Raw genomic sequence first — 16,476 nt, forward strand, 5'->3', positions numbered from 1 at the left:
GGACCGGTGGGGGCAGACAGCCTGAGATTAAACTTGATCCATAGATAATCCCCCAAATCCAGAAGCCACCTGGACAACAGTTGGCTGAACTGAGCTCCATCGTGGGATACATGCTGATGGTACTGCTGAGTTCACCAAGGGTCTCCCCGGGACCAGAAAACAGCTCCTCAAAATACAACTTATTATTCTAATCATTATTGGAGAGTGACAGAGAAAAGAGCGTCAATCCTTTGAGGGCAGAATCCATTTAGGAAGATTAAATGGCTATTCTCACCGCCGACCCCCAACCCCCGTTTTTACTTTTACAAACTTTATTATGAAAAATATCAAACATACAGAAAAGTGGAGAAAACAGTATAACGAATCCGGCCACCCATCACCCAGCCTCAGCGATGACCAACCCGCGCCTGACCTCTCCAGTCATCTATACCCCACCCCTCGAGGCAAATCTCCGACGTCCTCTCCTTACACGCGCAGACCTCGGTAGCGACGGGAATCCGTTCCGGACTCCTCTGGGGCCCTGGCCGGCTCCCTCGGCCCTGCTCAGCGCGGCGCGGGCGGGTTCTCAGCCCACGTCCGTGAAGCTGAAGGCCGGATCGTGCGGCGCCGCCCCGCCCCCCACGGCGCTTCCTCCTCGGTCCGCACCGCGAGGGTCACCGCGGCCCCGGAGCGCCTGGGACACTCGACCGGCAGCCGCGGGTGATGCGCGAGTGAGTCCCTCAGCGAAGCGCGGAAGAGAGAACGAAGAGGCGCCTTCCACTTCCTCTCGCTCTAACGCCGGCACCCGCCCCGCGCGTCCCTCGCCCCCGCTGCCCCGCCCCCTGCAGGGCGTGGCCACGGCCCGAGGGGCGGGGAAACACCCATATTTGGCCTTATATGGGCAGCCGCGTCACGGACGGCACTCATTCACATAAAACGCTGCGCGGCCGGCGGAATCCCCGGCTTCTAGGGCGGCGAGCGGCCGGGCTGGCTATCGAGCGAGCGGGGCGGGAACGCGGAGTTGCGCCGCCGCTCGGGCGCCGGGCTCCGTCGCGGCCGCAGCCCCGCGGGTCGCCCTCCCGTGCCTCGCCCGCGGACACCCTGGCCGTGGACACCCTGGCCGTGGGCACCCGCGGGGCGCGCGGCGCGGGGCCGCTGGCCGGCGGCGGCGGCGGCATGAAGGTCACGTCGCTCGACGGGCGCCAGCTGCGCAAGATGCTCCGCAAGGAGGCGGCGGCGCGCTGCGTGGTGCTCGACTGCCGGCCCTATCTGGCCTTCGCTGCCTCGAACGTGCGCGGCTCGCTCAACGTCAACCTCAACTCGGTGGTGCTGCGGCGGGCCCGGGGCGGCGCGGTGTCGGCGCGCTACGTGCTGCCCGACGAGGCGGCGCGCGCGCGGCTCCTGCAGGAGGGCGGCGGCGGCGTCGCGGCCGTGGTGGTGCTGGACCAGGGCAGCCGCCACTGGCAGAAGCTGCGAGAGGAGAGCGCCGCGCGTGTCGTCCTCACCTCGCTACTCGCTTGCCTACCCGCCGGCCCGCGGGTCTACTTCCTCAAAGGTGAGCGCTCGGGGTCCCTGCCACGCTCGCCCCTCCGGCGCCCCCGGGTCCCCTCCCTGCGCCGGGGCGCCCTCCTACACCCTGGGACCGGGAGAGTCACCACCTGCAGGAGTCTGCACCCTGTGGCTTGTTGTGCGCTTGGGAGGGCACTGCAAATGTCAGCACTCAGAGCTCCCCCTCTTCCCCACCCGCGTTCCTCGAAAGCGCCCGGCAGCGGGTCTGCCCGGTGGTCTGGGTGGAGTTGGTTATGCTGCGGGGGCTGCTGCTGTTTAGCAGTTTGGGGGCCGTCGGCTCGTGCCGGGCACGAGCCCCCTTTCCAGACGCGAGCTTCGCCGCTGTCGCTGGGGTCAGGGCTCGGGGCCTTCCTGATAGACTGATCTGGCGGGATCAGCAGGTCGCGATCCACTCTCCCTTGGTGTGGCGCCGTGGTGCCCCCCTTCCTCCCGCCTAGCCAGCTGTGGTCTTCACCGACCCCCTTGCCTTTTTGACCTGGCGAGTCCCTTCCCTTTCCATTTCATTTTATTGCTTTTTATTGTTTCCCTCCGGCCTCTTCTCCCCTCCTAGGTCTTTTCTCTAGCTCAGTTTGGAGCTCACATCCTTTCCACCCTTTTCACCTCCTCCTTCCTCCGCCCCAGGATTATCCCTGGGACCCATCCTGAGCTGAGCCTACAGCCAGCCAGCCACGAAATAGAGGTGCGCGGGGGCAGGGTGGTATGGAGATTCTGCGGCCTTTGATTTGACACCTCCCGGAGCTACCGCCACAGGCCTGCCCATTTCACCTGCCGGGAAGATAACTTTGGCTTCTGGTGGTGGGTGGGTGATTGACTCTCAAAATCCAAAGCATTGGTTTTTTCTGGGTTACTTCCTATGACTGCTCCTGCTTTGTGTTTGAGTCCTTTGTAACCTCAAATGACACCCGGGGAGACCTGACCCACATGTAGAGATGAGGGTTTAGCCCCAGCAGGGCCCCAAGGCCGTGCCAGCCCTGGCGCGGACACCTTGGGATGTAACAGTGTTGGGGATCAGAGCTCGGTGCAGAGAGCCGGCGCCGAGTTAGGAGCCTGTTTTAAAGCCATGCAACTTGAGTTTCACACAGTCCGGGCCAGGAAGATTCTGGAGACAGTTCCCCTCTCTGCTAGCACCTCCTGCTGACTGGTCCCCTGTTGATTTCCTGTTGGAGAGTTAACAGAGGTAGATGGTAATCGTCCTTCTTCTAACAGCCTATCCCCCAGGGGATAGAGGGTTGGCCCTCTGGCTCTGCAGAGGTTTCAGCGTGCCTCCTGATTTCTTTCTCTTCCTAATATGGTTTTTATCTCCTGTGGTTTGGAGAAGTTTCTGCCTCAGTAGTATGAAAGAGGTTCCAGGAGACCCTCCCTGGTCCCACCTCTCCTCCCCATGCTTCTCTAAGCTGGCCCTGCTGACAGTTTAGAAGTTGTCGCCACAAAGTAGGCAGCTCTATAGACTCACATCTCAGGAAAACTGGGTTAAAATGTTTTTTAAAAGAAGGTAACATATACACAGGTAAAAATTTGAACAGCATGAAGGCCCTGTGATGAGAAGCGGGTCTTCTGCATATCTTAGAACCCAGTTCCACTCCCCAGAGACAGTCGTCAACTATTTTTTGTTTACCTTTAGATAGTTTTTCATAAGTATCTTAGAAATAGATTGATTTTGTATAGTCCCTGTCCTGCCTCTTGTATCTATCTAGATCTTGGAGACTTGTCCATATCTGATCATACATGTCTGTTTCACATTGAACCGGTCTCCTGTAATGACCATTAGGTTGCGTCCCGCCTCACTGCTCCAAGCAATGCGGTAGATGTCCTTCTCCATGTGCTCTTGCGTGTGCAGTGCCTTTCAGTAAATCATGAGAATTGCCAGGTCAAGAATTACATGCATTTTAAGTTTCAGTAGAAATTGCTTCATGCCTACCCTTATAACACTACTAAACTTTAAATTGTTGCCAGAGAAAATTTTTATTTCTTTACGTAATTCATGTGCAGATAGGAGTTCAGGTTTTAATCTGGTGGCATCTCAGATCTTGGTGGGGGCAATGCCTTTTGACACTTTCCATAATCCCCTGTCTCCCAAACAACCACTAAAATGAAATGGTGATGACTGAATTGCGTGGTCAGTGCTTATTTATATATAGTATCTGTGCTCTCTCTGTTCCCTGGTGATGTGGTGGTGATTGAAAGCAGACTCACTCCAAAAGAAGTAGCTCTAAGAATTGCCATGGCTTTTGCCACTCGAGTGAGGCACCAGCGAGGAATGTTCTGTCTCTCCACACCTCTGATGGGAGTGGGTGAAAGACTGAGACCATTTAATCTGGAGGATTCCTCTGAATCCCAGCTTGAAGAGGCAGGACCCTGTTTATCTGTCCCTCAACTAAATTTTGTCAACAGCATGCAGGATCCAGCCCACACCCGAACCTCTTATCTGTCCTCCTGATAGCCAACTCTGAAGTAATATATTTAAAGCCAAAAGATGGGGTAGCCTGAAGATTCCTATTTCCCCAACCTTCGTCCTGAAGTTTGGGAGGGCCCAGGTCATTCTGAACTCCAAATTCCCATCCAAATCCTTGTTTGTCTCCTGGAACCCATAATGTCGAGGTCCAGGCACGGGAAGTGATCAGGTGGTTTACTGACTAGGGATGCCTCTTCCAAGGAAGCTGTGGGTCATTGTGAGCCTGCCTCATTCTCTCTTGACTGCTGGAAGGGAAGGGGCCCAGGGGCTATGGCAGAGCATGGGAAGCTAAGCTGCCTATAGCACCATCTTGCACCTCTGCCGTGGCCTCCCGTTGTCGTGGGGAGCATGGTCATTGAGGAGGACCAGGAGCTCATGGGCAGGCGCAATGGGCTGCTTGTGAGGTGACCACAGGGGAGATCTGGGTGTACTAAGTGGGGGCGGGGCAGTTCCAGTGAGCTGAGAGGAAGCGGTAATGGCAAGATGACTCATTCTAGGAATTGGCTGCAGCTTCTGGGAGGGAGTTGGAGACTGCCTTGTAATCCATTAACCATTTGTCTACTGCAGGGCTTTAAAAAAGCCAGCATCACAACACCCAAAGTCAGAAAAGAAAAAGGGGGTTCTTTGGAAAATTCATGGTCTCAGAATGCATGTTTAATGGATTTGACTCCAAGTGAATTCTCTGGGCCAGAAAAAGACAAGTGGGCTTTCTGGAGGCCCTAGGAAATGTCTCAGGTTGCTCTCTGGGTTACCAGCAAAGGAGTTTCCCAAGCAAGGCTGGCCTGTTGCACCTGGCAGCCCTTGGCATTCTGAGGGTTCCAAGGCCACCTTTTCATTCGGTTCTTCCCCACTGAAATGGGCCCAAGAAGGCTTACTTATATTTGCAAGTTTCCGTGACTTGCTCAGAGGGTCGTTTTTACCTTATATCCATTTGGAGAGGTGTAAATGTAATATTAAGGATTCTGAGAGTCACACATGCCGTAAGTTGACTTATTGATTGGGGGGGGGGTGCAGGAGGAGTAGGAGAGAAGTAAGAAAAGTGGGGATAAGAAGATAGGGTGGTCATGAAGGGGACAGAGACAGTTTTTGCTCATGAGGGCTGAGAATTAAATTCAGAAGTCTTTATTCTTTCAGTTGATTTAGAAGGTAATTAACTGGATTGATGACTCCAAATTGGACCTAGAAAGGATTGTCAGCAGTGTTCTTCTTAGCACCTTGGGAGTGAGAAGCAGTGAGGCTGTTTTACTGCCCTGAGTCGAAATGAAACCTCGTATCAGCCCCCATTTCCTTATAAATGGAGGAGGTTCCAGCTAGAATCCTGCTTAGAGCAGATGGGCTGGGGAAGAAGCCACTTCAGGAGCCTGTCTTCTCGCCAATTAATGAAATTTTGGGTAATCACACCTTCCTTTTAGATAAACAAGAGAGAAAATAGCCTTTGTTTTCTGGAGGGATTTGGTTAGTATTTGCCAGATGCTAGACACTTTCTTTCACAGTTTAATCTGCTTCTGATAGACACAAAAAGTTAATCATTGCCTCTGAAAGAGTTCTTTTTAGAGGTTTGTATGTGTGTACAGCCCCTTTCTATTCTAAATCTGTTTGCTGGTTTTGCTCAATTTTTAATGACCAGAATCTGTACTGGCTTATTTTTTTTCTTAACTGTGTAACACTCAGAGTATTGATTAACTATGGGTATTTTTGACAGCGTGAGAAATTGATGCTTACCATCTGTCTCACCTTTTTGTTTGTTTTTGTAGGGGGATATGAGACTTTCTACTCGGAATATCCTGAGTGTTGCGTGGATGTAAAACCCATTTCACAAGAGAAGATTGAGAGTGAGAGAGCCCTCATCAGCCAGTGTGGAAAACCAGTGGTAAATGTCAGCTACAGGCCAGCTTATGACCAGGTACGTGATGTGATGGGGAAGAGGTATCCTGAGTGGTATTCTGGGCTCCTGTCTCCCTTCCTTCCTCAGCACCTGACTGTTCTCTCCCCACTCAGCAATGATGGTTAGTTCTTTTGTGGATCAGGGTGTTGGCAAAATCCCCTGGCTTTAGGGAGCTTCTGTTGCTTGCCAGCTTGAGCTTCCATCCAAGAGTAAATGGGCTTCCTTCCAGCAAACGAGCTGACAAGAGCAAACCAGCCACAGGATGCTTGGCAGCTTCTGGGGAAAAGGGGAAGTGAAAGATACATTATTGTCATCTGGCTTCGGAGGTTCAGAGAAGCTTTGAAATACTGGTCTAGGTTTCCCTGAAGACATTTCAGAGTTGACTTTCAGGCTTCCTGTGTTGCTTTTCTTTGTAATTGTCCATGCTCTGCAGTTTCTGCAAACCATCCCGGTACCTGTCAAGGTGTGTCTTATTGGTATGTTTAACTGAAACTGGTGTTGGTGGGGGTGCTACAGAGAAAGTCCTGTTTGGGTGGCTAAGTAGGCTCCTCTAAGGGGTTCTTATGCTTACAATTCCACAGATAACTGAAACCAGAGGAAATCAAAAGATACTAGAGGGCTTCATGTTTCTGTAAACTAGTGAGTTTTTGTTTTTCTTCTAAAAATGAGTGCTTTGTGATAACTCATTAAAGGGAAAAATAAAGTGGAAGGGGGTTACGTAGCACCATCCAGGAAGATGAAAAAGCAGGTGAGAATCCAAATCTGGCAGAAGCCAGAGATCAAAACCTAACCATTTTACGGAAGGGAAAAGAAGTGTTCTGTGACAAGTGAGATGATTGATTTTGCAGAGTCCTACAGCTGGTTCAAGGCAGCATCAGGCTCAGAACCCCTTTCTCTCAGCTCTCTGTTGTGATTATTTCAGGACCTTGTTCTGTTTTCCACATGGCCTCTAATCTAGACACCTGACCTGGTGGGAGTAACCTTTCAAACTTTTCACATAAACCAAGAACATACCCAAATCATAAGAAGAAAGATTGCTAGATGCTAAAATGCCAGCTCCCTGCCATGAACAAAACCCTGTCCCTGGGGATAAACTTCAAAGTAAAGCCAGATGACCTTTTCTTGAACGGGCTCCTTGGTCAGGAATCCTATTAGCTTGTCCAGATGCCAGGGTTAGGATTTTGTTTGTTTTCCTTTAATAAACATCCTTACAGTATATGACGAGCCTGTGGCTTTCAAGCTGTGGACATCTGGCCTAGCTAGATTTCTACTTTTGTTTGTTTGTTTGGGTTGTGTTTTCCCCCCATTTCTCAGAAAGTGAAAGAGAAATAAGAATTGGCAGAATGTTGCGAAAGCACGGCACATCTTTGGCCAAGTGAGGGGTGAGAAAGCCCTGATGTGTCTTCAAGATTCATCTGGGGAACCCCCTAATGCTACTTCTTAGAAATGCTTCTGCATTTAGAGCAGCCAGATGAGGTTGTGTTAACTTTTGGGGTTTCTGAAGGCCTTTGGCTTCTTCCTCTTGGTCTAAACAGAAGTTCAAAAAGGGAAAGAAATGTAGTTTCAGGGGTGTGTTGGGCTGAGCTCCAAAAGAAACTGGATAGGATCCCAGGTCTGGTGTATCAGCAATTTCCAGGCACTCAGGAGAGGAAGAGATCTTGAGTCAACCATCCAGCCTGCTCCTTAAAGGGCGAGCCTGTTAGTGTCCATTGGTGGGGACCCATAAGTCATCAGTGGCCACGTGAATCTGGACTTGGAACTCTGACTCCTTTCCAAAGAACTTTGTACCACCTCTGCTGTTTTCCTGGTTTCTAGCTGGTGGGGATGCTGTGCCCAGGGAGTGGGTCCAACTCAGGTCAGGACTAGACCTGCTTGGATTGCCTAAAAACCTGTGTCTTCCCCATGGAGAGAAGCCATGTTCTGTTCATTCTTCAATCTCTATGACAGTGGCAGCTATGTGACGTGCCAGGTTTTAATGCATTCATTATCCCATTTACACCTTACCAATTATCCAGAGAGGATAGGTATTATCCCCAGTTTAGAGACAAAGGGTCATAGATTAAAGAAGCTATCCAAGATCACATCAGGTAGTAAGCATGGAGCTCTGGAACTTAACCAAGAGCTCCGCTGTCTGACGCCCAAGCCCAGGTTGTTAACCACTGCACCACTTTGCCACCAGGAAGGCTGCTCTGTACGCATGGAAGTTTGGGAGGTTTCGAGGAGGTGATGCAGATGGACATTTTATCTCTAGAGGAAGAGAGGAAAGAGGGAATTTTTTCCTTCCTGTCTTTACCTGAAATACTTACTTTCTCATATTGATCACTATTGAAATGGAGTCAGACAAGGCCTTGCATCTCATGCTACGCAATCAGTTTTGGGTTTCAGCCCAGCTCTACCACTGACTAGCTCTGACTTGGACAAGTTATTAAATGCATCTGAGCCTCAAGTTGCCCATCCGTAAAATGGGAATAATGTTACCTACCTCACAGATTTTGTGAAATTGGTATGATGTAGGCACATCTAAAGGGTTAAGCCCCCAGAGGCCAGCCATAGTAGATGCTGATAAAAATACCAGTTGTTATTACCGTATGTAAAATCTTGTGTAATTTTCTTTCAAGTGACTGAACTGGCCTTTGCTTAAACACTTGACTTCTCAGGAAACAAAAAGCTAACTCCGGGTGTGGGGTAAATTGAGAATTGCCTGTGGCTGGCCCCTGTCCCACGCACCCTTCCCTGTTAGGGATCTGGCTGAGAGTTTCCATTCCGTTCTTATTCCAGGGCAGGAAATGGAAACACAGGAAGCAGATGGTTGGCATGGGAAAGGCTCCCAAAGACACAGCCACTGTCACCCAGCCCCTTGTTTCCCTCTCAGTCTCTAAGGGCTCCCATTTTTCCAACCATCACTAGCTTTTCTGCCACCTTCAGAGCCCTGTAAATGCTGTGACTGCCAGAGTCTAACCAGCGGTTCATTTTAGTTTTGCCTCAAGGTGGATGGTCTCTGGTTCCCCCTTGACTAGAAATCTGGGGTGTGGGTAGCCTCCCAAAAGGATGGCTCTGTAAGCGGGTCTCACCAGCACCTTCAACAAACCCCCGTGTGAAGAAGGTCAGAGGCGGGGAAGCCCCTCTGCTTGTGGCCTGACAACATTTTTTATCTAAAGATTCTGAGTAGGTAGTGGTTATTTTCATTTCTAAAAAGCATACTTTTTTGTGGAGGTGGAGGTGCATTTTAACATCTCTAAAACCTGGGTGCATCTTAGGATCAACAGTGTCTTAGGTTTGATGAAATACACCATATAGGCTAGGCTTGGTAGCTCATGCCTATAATCCCAGCACTTCAGGAGGCTGAGGTAGGAAGATCGCTTGAGGCCAGGAGTTGAAGACCATTCTGGGCAACATAGCAAGAACTCATCTCTACCAAAAAAATTATAAAATTAGCCAGGCATGGTGGTACATGCCTGTAGGCCCAGCTACTCGGGAGACTGAGACGGTAGGATCTCTTCAGCGTAGGAATTCAAGATTACAGTGAGCTATGATTGTGCCGCTGCACTGCAGCCTGGGTGACGGAGCAAGACTCTGTCTTTCCAAAAAGGAAAAAAAAAATACACTATGTAAAATGTCAAGGCTGTAAAGGAGGACACACACCATGTTGAGTCCTGGTCCATTTTATCTGTAAAGAAAGCAAGACTGTCCCAAGGCATAGGAGATTGCCCTGGTACTCTCAGGGCAGCTGTAACTTCAACACAGGCCTGTCAATTTTTCCCATATTACCACATGGCTTCTCATCCTTGTCAGCGCAGGAAGGCTGTCGGCATATCCTGCCTCCTGGATATGTGCAAAAAAGTGAACTCTTTGCTGTGTGGATTTTGCTGTCATTGAGTCACAAGGCAGTCACATAAGGTAGAGAGTTGGCCAGGATGGAGATACAACCACACTTGGTTGAACTGCCCTGGCTCTGAACTCCACTTGGAAACCAGAAAGGGAACCACCCATCTTAAGAAACAAATAGGTCGGAGTTGTTTTTTCCTCTCTCAAATGAACAAGCTAATCCAATATTTCCTGATTGTCCTTTGTCCCTGCATCCAGGGTGGCCCAGTTGAAATCCTTCCCTTCCTCTACCTTGGAAGTGCCTACCATGCATCCAAGTGCGAGTTCCTCGCCAACCTGCACATCACAGCCCTGCTGAATGTCTCCCGACGGACCTCCGAGGCCTGCGCGACCCACCTACACTACAAATGGATCCCTGTGGAAGACAGCCACACGGCTGACATTAGCTCCCACTTTCAAGAAGCAATAGACTTCATTGGTAGGTTTAGCCATTCCCCTTCAGTTATTTTGGGAGCCCCTTTGGGGCATGTGTTCTTGACTTTTGATGCCCTGATGGAAGCTACCTTCACTGAAAGAAAAGTGTCTTGTATATGCCGCTGCTGAGAGTTGGAGCCAACATGGGATGCAGCTACCAAAAAGGTGGAAGGGAGGATTTAAGTTGCTATGAATAGGAGCTTTAATTTGCAAGATAAATGAATTAATATAATTTTATGGCAGTACTCACTGTCGATCTTGTTATTGTTTCTAGCTGGGCAGGAGCTGAGTGTATCCCTGCGTAATGCTCCACACAAGGAAAGCAGGGGGAAGAACCTCCCTAACTGTGCTTCTACGTAGGTTGGGTTTATTTTTAAAAGCAAACAGAAGGATTCAGAGAGCACTACTTACGCACTGAGCCCCAAGGGCCCCCAGCAGCTTTCCATACTCTTGGTGAACGGCTTGGGGCAATTTGTTTTGCATTTTCAGCTAATTTTGGATTAAAGATAGCACTTGACTCAAGCTCCATGCTGTATGCACAGAAAAGTTGGCATCTTTTGCCTGCTTTCTGCATTCTTGTTACGCAGTTATTTATTCCATTGCATAGACCTGAAAACCGAGGCCTTGGCCTCTGGTCCCTCTGCCAGGAAAGGGCTGTGGCCTTAGGGTTTCCAGGTCCTCTGTGTTGCCTGGATTGTTCTCCCATTTGGCATCTTCTCCTCCCCCATCCATCTTCCTAGGAGGCTGGCCTGACTTTTTTCTGTTTCAGATTTGCAAGTACCAGTCTCTAACCTTGTGATCATGCCCCGTTTTCCAGCTCCCATCTTCCTCTTTAACATACGTAGTTGTTGAAACTGACGCGTGATTTTCCTGTCTCTTGTTCCAAGGGATGTTGGAGGAGGAAAGGCAGGTGTTAGCACAGCAATAATTACTTAGTGCAGATAGCAATTAAAGGTCCCCCTTGAGCCACATAGTGGCCCTCTGTTCACCACACAATTTCTGCTCCCCAGGAAACCCTGACGAGAAACTCATCAGAGGCAAAAGGCCGAGCCTGTCCTGCTTGTCCCCTGAGCCTCTGGGCTGAAATGATTCCTTTGGAGCTTGAAAGGCAGCCAAATGATGGGTTCAGGGTGGGAAACCCTTGACTTGTTCTCCCTGTCCCTGGGAATGCCTTGCCCTTCTCAGCCTGTTATTTAATTACCTGGGTAGCTACTTCATGAGGTCATGAAACACGCCCCCATCCAGTTCTCAGAACCCTCCCTCCCCATCCTGTGTGTGTATTGTGTCTGTGTACGCACAATCCACAAACCCACAGCAGTTTGAAAGCACAGGATGCTTTTTCTCCGATTGCTTGCCCTGCTAATGGAAGGAGAGACTGGGTCTCCCCAGTGAGCCATGTGCTGAATATATGCTGACCCCTTCCAAGGGAAGAGGGCCATGTGGAAGGCAGGCTCCGAGGTGTCGAGTGGGCTCCAGAGGCAATACACTCTGGACCCTTTGCATTCTTGGATGTGGCACTAGGCCAGTTAAAAGCTAAACTTTGAAGGAGGCCAACAGAGGAGCGAAGGGAGATAGGAGCCCGACTCTGTAATTCTAGGGACTTGGGGGTCTCCCCTTTGAACTAATTTAAAGAGACTGTTTTGTTGTTTCTTTTGAGTCAGACTGAATTGGAGGACACCCCTATTGAACTGCTTTGGGGTATGCTGTGGGGTTTTTGTTCAGATGGGGAAACTCTAGGATTCCTCCCTGATGCCTCAGAAATTTTATCTTTTAGATCTTGCAGATTGATTTGCATACTTTGACCTTGGGGCAGGGAAGTGGAGGGTGGTAAGGGGAATGACTTTTTCTTTTGGCCCTTCAAAATCGTAAATGTTTTTGCGTATTGTAGCCTGCGTAGTGCCAGCTACATCTAACTTCCTGTGATGTAATTGTTTCCTCACTAGCAAGAGAGGGAATTGGAAAGACTGTATTTTTTGTGGATTTGATGTGTACGTATCTTTAACCTTTCACCCCTTCCCATTTTTAATAGTTGTAGCTGGTTTTCTGGGGGCAGGGGGCTGGGAGGTAGAACAGGAAGGGAGGCATCCTCCCCTTTTTGTCATATTGAGCTAAAGAATGCTAACTGATGGTGGTAGCTTTATAGCAGCGACTCCCATTGTTGAGCAAGATGGAATTTGTGAAAGCCATTTATATCCTCCGTCTAGTAGGCGTCACTTAGCCAGGGCTATAATTAGTGGCCATGCGCTATTTATTGTGTGTTTGGTGGTGAGAACCCTGGGAGCTGAGCCAAGCATCCTGCCCTGGCACAGCCAGACAGGGTGCCCGGAGAGACCGGAAGGCCTCTACCAGGATCGGGGTTAGGTTGTTACCCTTAGAATCAGACCTGGAGAGACAAGAGTTGCTTCTCCAAGTCAGTCTTTGAGCCTGGGATGCTCTCCTTAGAAAAATGTATGTGCCCAATAAAAATGTGCACAATTTCAAGGATTTTCCAATGCCCTCTTGGAACCATCAGTGGAACCTAGGTTAAGATGGCATCCCCAGGAAGGGACTGCTCCAGGTCCATCGCCTCCAGAGGCAGAATCTGCAAGTATCTTGGGAACTGTAAAGCTTCTGTGTGCTTATGTCTCTTGTGACAATAGCTGCTGTAAACTGTAAAGGTCCTACTTGGGGATAGTCTTTGCTGGGACCCCAAAAGCTCTATCCTCACCAGTGGGGATTAAAGACTGGCAGAAGTGTAGTGTAGGGCCGTGGCTCTTAGGCAGGCACAACAGTTTCATATCTAGGTTACTCCAGTGTTTGATTCTTGTGTTTTGCCATTGCCCTTAGATTCTAATCCCAACTCACTCCCACCATCTTTTCTTCCTTCCAGACTGTGTCAGGGAAAAGGGAGGCAAGGTCCTGGTCCACTGTGAGGCTGGGATCTCCCGTTCACCCACCATCTGCATGGCTTACCTTATGAAGACCAAGCAGTTCCGCCTGAAGGAGGCCTTCGATTACATCAAGCAGAGGAGGAGCATGGTCTCGCCCAACTTTGGCTTCATGGGCCAGCTCCTGCAGTACGAATCTGAGATCCTGCCCTCCACGCCCAACCCCCAGCCTCCCTCCTGCCAAGGGGAGGCAGCAGGCTCTTCACTGATAGGCCATTTGCAGACACTGAGCCCTGACATGCAGGGTGCCTACTGCACATTCCCTGCCTCGGTGCTGGCACCGGTGCCTACCCACTCAACAGTCTCAGAGCTCAGCAGAAGCCCTGTGGCAACGGCCACATCCTGCTAAAACTGGGATGGAGGAATCGGCCCAGCCCCAAGAGCAACTGTGATTTTTGTTTTTAAGACTCATGGACATTTCATACCTGTGCAATACTGAAGACCTCATTCTGTCATGCTGCCCCAGTGAGATAGTGAGTGGTCACCAGGCTTGCAAATGAACTTCAGACGGACCTCAGGGTAGGTTCTCGGGACTGAAGGAAGGCCAAGCCATTACGGGAGCACAGCATGTGCTGACTACTGTACTTCCAGACCCCTGCCCTCTTGGGACTGCCCAGTCCTTGCACCTCAGAGTTCGCCTTTTCATTTCAAGCATAAGGCAATAAATACCTGCAGCAACGTGGGAGAAAGAAGTTGCTGGACCAGGAGAAAAGGCAGTTATGAAGCCAATTCATTTTGAAGGAAGCACAATTTCCACCTTATTTTTTGAACTTTGGCAGTTTCAATGTCTGTCTCTGTTGCTTCGGGGCATAAGCTGATCACCGTCTAGTTGGGAAAGTAACCCTACAGGGTTTGTAGGGACATGATCAGCATCCTGATTTGAACCCTGAAATGTTGTGTAGACACCCTCTTGGGTCCAATGAGGTAGTTGGTTGAAGTAGCAAGATGTTGGCTTTTCTGGATTTTTTTTGCCATGGGTTCTTCACTGACCTTGGACTTTGGCATGATTCTTAGTCATACTTGAACTTGTCTCATTCCACCTCTTCTCAGAGCAACTCTTCCTTTGGGAAAAGAGTTCTTCAGATCATAGACCAAAAAAGTCATACCTTCGAGGTGGTAGCAGTAGATTCCAGGAGGAGAAGGGTACTTGCTAGGTATCCTGGGTCAGTGGCGGTGCAAACTGGTTTCCTCAGCTGCCTGTCCTTCTGTGTGCTTATGTCTCTTGTGACAATTGTTTTCCTCCCTGCCCCTGGAGGTTGTCTTCAAGCTGTGGACTTCTGGGATTTGCAGATTTTGCAACGTGGTACTACTTTTTTTTTCTTTTTGTCTGTTAGTTATTTCTCCAGGGGAAAAGGCAATAATTTTCTAAGACCCGTGTGAATGTGAAGAAAAGCAGTATGTTACTGGTTGTTGTTGTTGTTCTTGTTTTTTATAGTGTAAAATAAAAATAGTAAAAGGAGAAAAGCACTTCTTCATGTTGTTGGTGAATTGGGATAAGGTAGGAATACCCTTGGGTGGGGACCCAGCCTGCTTCATTGGGATTTATTTGTAAATGAACAACAGGGTGATGGTGGTGGAGGTGCAGCTATAGGCATGACGATACAGAATGTTGCTTTCCAACTGAGGGGTTTCCCTAAGCTAACCGGCAAGAGAATTCCTTAGTGCAGGCCTCATAGGGAGGTGGTGAGAGTATCTGCCCACTCAGGGCCCTTCACTGCCATCGCACTAGGCAAAGAGCTCTACTTGAACCTCAGATTCCTCACCTGTGAAGAGTGAGCTGAGTTAGATGATCCCAAGAGTCCCTTAAAGCATAAGGCCCTTGGTTCCAGTAAGCCTGAGTGCCAAGCTTGTGGCCAGCTACCTCCCTCCAGTGCCTGGCATATGGCAGACTCAGAAAAGGCTGGGTAAGTGGCCAAGGGATGGAGAAGTGAATGAGGTGAAAGTTTGCCCTGCCAGCCTGCCTGACGCCCTCTTTCCACTCTTGCAACTAATTCTAGATAATTCCCCAGGAGTTCCAACGTAAATCCCTCAATGAGTAGGTTTAAATCCAAGGCTGAATCGACTTGCTTTGTGAGTAACTTCCTCTGCGTAGGTGGAGGAAGGAAGGGGCAGTTGTCAGCTTCTCCCCATGATTGGCTCTGCCTGGGCTCCAGCCTAACTCCTGGGTCCTGTTCCTAATCTGAGGGAACAGGGAGCTGGTTGGGGTTTATGCCATCCCAGTCAGCTGATAAATAACAGGGATTCCAGCCATACTTCTCAATGCTGGAGGGTCCAAAGGGTGTCCAGTTCTCCCGACATGCATTGTGTCAACAAATAGCAAGATGGTGGCAGAGCACAGGCAGCCCAGCTCTCTAAATTCCTCACCTCAAAGGCTTTGCGTGAGGTCTTTCTCTCCACCTGTCTTTCCTTTCCCCAACTGTGTTCAGAGGTTCCTTGGAAAGTCCACAGATGAGAAGGTCACCCAGGGTTAGGATGCTGAATTTCTTTCAGCCCACTCCCCTCATCTGTGTAACCAAACAGCTTCCACAGTGAAGAGCACTAGACCAGATGGTGAGAAGTTGTGGGTTCTAGCCCTTGCCCTTCCCCCAGCTCTCCAGTGGTTTGGAGCTAATCTCCAACCTCTGTGGACTAGATTTCTCCAGGGCTCTTATCTAGCTGGTGCCTAATCCCTCGTGGTGTCCCATCTCTGAGCCTCTGACCAGCCTTGGAGTGTGTCCCTGAAGCCTGCCCATTGTGTGGGCCTATGCAGGTGCTGAGTGGCTAAAGGAACCTTGGGTAGGGAGAGCCGGGGAGTAGGAAGCTGGATGCAGGCTGGGGTGATGTGCTAAGCTCAGCCCACTTGCTGACATTTGCTTTATTGCATTAAAGTCTTTCTCTGAAGGGTGAGTAAGTCCTCTAAATCAGGCATATGAGGATTGCTCATCGGCGGGTGAGTCACTGGAGGGTAAGCCAAGTGAAGCCCCACAGCTGGAGATGGCTCTAGAACCCTCACTCCACTTAATAGTCTCTTCATTGATTACATCTCCATTCTTGCCAAGACCAACTCTACACTGGCTTCCAGTGCCAAATGGGGAATTCAAGCTGATGGCGTTTAGATCCTTCATCCCCAGGTTTTGAGAAACACCTCTGTCGGTCTCCAAGCATCATCGCACATAGAGATGTGTTCAGGAGAAGAAAGATGTTAGTTCTCTCTTTCCCGGCTGTACCTGTAGGAAGCCCCCTCAGATCCACCCTAGCTAATGAGCTAGGCCAGATGGGGCAGGAGTTGTGTGAGCAGTCTCTAACCAGGATCCAGTGTGCTGGCAGGAGTCCTGGGTACTGTGGATCTTCACTGTGTGAGGCCCTCAGGAAAGTGCCTCACCAAT

General features: G+C 49.9%; 1 protein-coding gene across 1 annotated transcript, besides 9 other annotated features; it reads left to right on the forward strand.

Annotated features, from left to right (window-relative positions):
* Positions 468-997: a silencer, noted in NCBI's record as "silent region_2815". NCBI's record gives its function as "represses an Ori minimal core promoter by ATAC-STARR-seq in GM12878 lymphoblastoid cells {active_cell/tissue: GM12878}" and the evidence as "EXISTENCE:reporter gene assay evidence [ECO:0000049][PMID:35858748]".
* DUSP5 (dual specificity phosphatase 5) lies at positions 941-14,567 on the forward strand. The gene is made up of 4 exons (NM_004419.4): positions 941-1,534; positions 5,755-5,903; positions 9,969-10,188; positions 13,054-14,567. Exons 1-4 carry the CDS (start codon positions 1,156-1,158, stop codon positions 13,458-13,460), a joined length of 1,155 nt encoding a protein of 384 aa, NP_004410.3. The 5' UTR covers positions 941-1,155; the 3' UTR covers positions 13,461-14,567.
* Positions 1,008-1,147: a silencer, noted in NCBI's record as "silent region_2816". NCBI's record gives its function as "represses an Ori minimal core promoter by ATAC-STARR-seq in GM12878 lymphoblastoid cells {active_cell/tissue: GM12878}" and the evidence as "EXISTENCE:reporter gene assay evidence [ECO:0000049][PMID:35858748]".
* Positions 1,218-1,277: a silencer, noted in NCBI's record as "silent region_2817". NCBI's record gives its function as "represses an Ori minimal core promoter by ATAC-STARR-seq in GM12878 lymphoblastoid cells {active_cell/tissue: GM12878}" and the evidence as "EXISTENCE:reporter gene assay evidence [ECO:0000049][PMID:35858748]".
* Positions 1,398-1,667: a silencer, noted in NCBI's record as "silent region_2818". NCBI's record gives its function as "represses an Ori minimal core promoter by ATAC-STARR-seq in GM12878 lymphoblastoid cells {active_cell/tissue: GM12878}" and the evidence as "EXISTENCE:reporter gene assay evidence [ECO:0000049][PMID:35858748]".
* Positions 7,084-7,313: an enhancer, noted in NCBI's record as "active region_4029". NCBI's record gives its function as "activates an Ori minimal core promoter by ATAC-STARR-seq in GM12878 lymphoblastoid cells {active_cell/tissue: GM12878}" and the evidence as "EXISTENCE:reporter gene assay evidence [ECO:0000049][PMID:35858748]".
* Positions 7,364-7,513: an enhancer, noted in NCBI's record as "active region_4030". NCBI's record gives its function as "activates an Ori minimal core promoter by ATAC-STARR-seq in GM12878 lymphoblastoid cells {active_cell/tissue: GM12878}" and the evidence as "EXISTENCE:reporter gene assay evidence [ECO:0000049][PMID:35858748]".
* Positions 15,226-15,305: an enhancer, noted in NCBI's record as "active region_4031". NCBI's record gives its function as "activates an Ori minimal core promoter by ATAC-STARR-seq in GM12878 lymphoblastoid cells {active_cell/tissue: GM12878}" and the evidence as "EXISTENCE:reporter gene assay evidence [ECO:0000049][PMID:35858748]".
* Positions 15,736-15,785: an enhancer, noted in NCBI's record as "active region_4032". NCBI's record gives its function as "activates an Ori minimal core promoter by ATAC-STARR-seq in GM12878 lymphoblastoid cells {active_cell/tissue: GM12878}" and the evidence as "EXISTENCE:reporter gene assay evidence [ECO:0000049][PMID:35858748]".
* Positions 15,866-16,135: an enhancer, noted in NCBI's record as "active region_4033". NCBI's record gives its function as "activates an Ori minimal core promoter by ATAC-STARR-seq in GM12878 lymphoblastoid cells {active_cell/tissue: GM12878}" and the evidence as "EXISTENCE:reporter gene assay evidence [ECO:0000049][PMID:35858748]".

This window comes from Homo sapiens, chromosome 10 (assembly GCF_000001405.40).
Source record: "Homo sapiens chromosome 10, GRCh38.p14 Primary Assembly".
NCBI lineage: Eukaryota > Metazoa > Chordata > Mammalia > Primates > Hominidae > Homo > Homo sapiens.